Source organism: Homo sapiens, chromosome 2 (assembly GCF_000001405.40).
Source record: "Homo sapiens chromosome 2, GRCh38.p14 Primary Assembly".
Classification (NCBI taxonomy): Eukaryota; Metazoa; Chordata; class Mammalia; order Primates; family Hominidae; genus Homo; species Homo sapiens.
The window spans coordinates 126,776,014-126,778,085 of NC_000002.12; the positions used below are offsets into that span (position 1 = coordinate 126,776,014).

A 2,072-nucleotide genomic window follows, 5' to 3' on the forward strand; every position below is an offset into this window, starting at 1 on the left:
AAGAAATGAAAAGAAGGAAAGAAGAAGGAAAGAAAGAAGAAAAGACAAAACAAGACTTCAAGACGTCATAGCCTTGATCACTTGATCAGGGGCAATTCATGCTAAGGGGTTTAATTGATCCCAGAAGGCACTGGGGAGCCATAGAAGGTTTAGGCAGGATGAGTGGCCAAGATCGGTTTCTGCTTTGCTCTCTGGCTGCAGGCACAGAGGCAAGTCCTGAGGCTGTTGTAACAACACTGAATGAAGGTGCCCCACCTAGCCAGTGCAGAGCTGGGAAGAGGGAGGGATGGAGTCCCCAAGAGTCCTGCAGGAGCAGAGAAGGATGCAGGAGGAGGCGTCTCTATGGGGCAGGTGGGTGTCTTGGGGATGGGGCACGTGGCCTCAGTAAGAACATGAAGCCAGGAGAAGGGCAGGACTGGGGACCACCATAAGCCAGGCACGGCTCCCCCCTGGGTTCAGTCAGCCTGAGAGGCACACTGAGGACCTCACTTCAGGGCCACACAGCCCAGTTTCATCCCAGGCGCCTGCGAGTTTCCCGGAGACAACCACAGGGAGTGTGCCGCGATTAATTCCCGAGTGTGGTCACTCTGGACAAAGCCATTGGGAGTAGAAAGGGCAGCACACCTATACCCATTGTACAGCGGGGAAAGCGGGCAAGGGGTCGCTCACAGACCCCTTCGTGCCCCGGCCCCGCCCTGGCCCCGCCCCAGCCCCGCCCAGGCCCCGCCCCAGCCCCGCCCAGGCGCTTGGCCAGCTCTCCCCGCCCCCGCCTCACCCCAGCGGTCTGTCCCAGTGCCAGTACACTTTCTGCTCTCCCAGCCGGGCACCTTCGGGCTTAGGGATCCCTTGGAGGGAAGCCCGCCGGGAAGCTGAAGACAGTGGTCACCGCCCTCGGTCATTACTTCCCGGGACCCGGACCCTAACCCTGCGCCACATCTCCACCCGCCCCCAGCCGTGTCCTGGCTGCGCAGCTGGAAAGGTTGAGCAGCTCACTGCTGTCCCTCTGTTCGGCCTTGGACACATCGCCTGAACTCCTGGGCGCCTCTGCTGTTAAGTGGGGGACAGCACTATTTACTGGGGAGGAAAACTCCAGGAATGTGGACCCTGGGGCCACGCAGGGGTTGGGAAGTGAAGGGCAGGGAACGCGGGCGGCGCCCGGGGTCTGCGGGTAGGCAGGCGGCCTGGCCGCGGAGGCTTCCCCGAGTCCTGCGCCTTCCTAGAGAGGGAGGGGCTCATATCGGCTGGCACAGCCACCACGGGTACCGAAACTTGGGGACGTGCCCGACCATGCCTCCTCCGGTGGCCCGGGGGCCACCCCGCATTGCTTAGAAGTCTCGCTTCCCGTTCCTCCTCTCTGGTTCAGCTCATTACTCTTCCGGTGACCCTGGGTATGCCACGCTTATTCTCCAGGCCTCAGTTTCCCCATCTGTGCTGTGAGGAGTGGAAGGAACGGGATGACTAGGAGCCTTTTAAGACCGAGTATTCGAGGTTCTTTCCGGCCCCGCGGAGCCAGGAGGTGCCAGCCGAGATGCGCGTGCCGCGCGCGCCCTCCAGTGCCCGGTTCCCGCTTCTGCACGGTCCTCGCTGGGCAAGGGCGTCCCAAGAAAGGAGGAAAGGAAGAACTCCATACATTGTCATTATTGTGAACTGATGAACAAAAGAGTCAATAGGGAAGGGAATGGGTAAATAAACCTCAGAATGAAGAAATAATAGGAGAGTGGTCATGAGTGCGCCAGCGCATGAATGAATGGACTCAAAATGAATGCACGCACAGAGTAAATGAGCCTTGCCTGTGACCATTTTCAAACATGTCATTTCTAACAAAAGTCACACAGCAGATAAGACTGTGTCTATGGATGACATGAAACCTGCCCACCCTCTCTTAACTGCCCATCCCCTGGTGTGAAGCTTCTCTGTGTGGTCAACCACCCCAAGTCCTCCTTTTTTTTTTTTTTTTTTTTTTCTCTCGCTCTGTCGCCCAGGCTGGAGTGCAGTGGCGCGATCTCGCCTCACTGCAAGCTCCGCCTCCCGGGTTCACGCGATTCTCCTGCCTCAGCCTCCCGAGTAGCTGG

At 58.6% G+C, this 2,072-nt stretch overlaps 1 long non-coding RNA gene across 1 annotated transcript; it reads left to right on the forward strand.

The window, feature by feature from the left end:
• The first annotated feature begins 797 nt into the window (after nucleotides 1-797).
• On the forward strand, nucleotides 798-1,710 carry LOC124907882 (uncharacterized). The gene is made up of 2 exons (XR_007087224.1): nucleotides 798-894; nucleotides 1,411-1,710. It is a non-coding gene; the product is annotated as an uncharacterized LOC124907882 (long non-coding RNA).
• The last annotated feature ends 362 nt before the right edge of the window (nucleotides 1,711-2,072 follow it).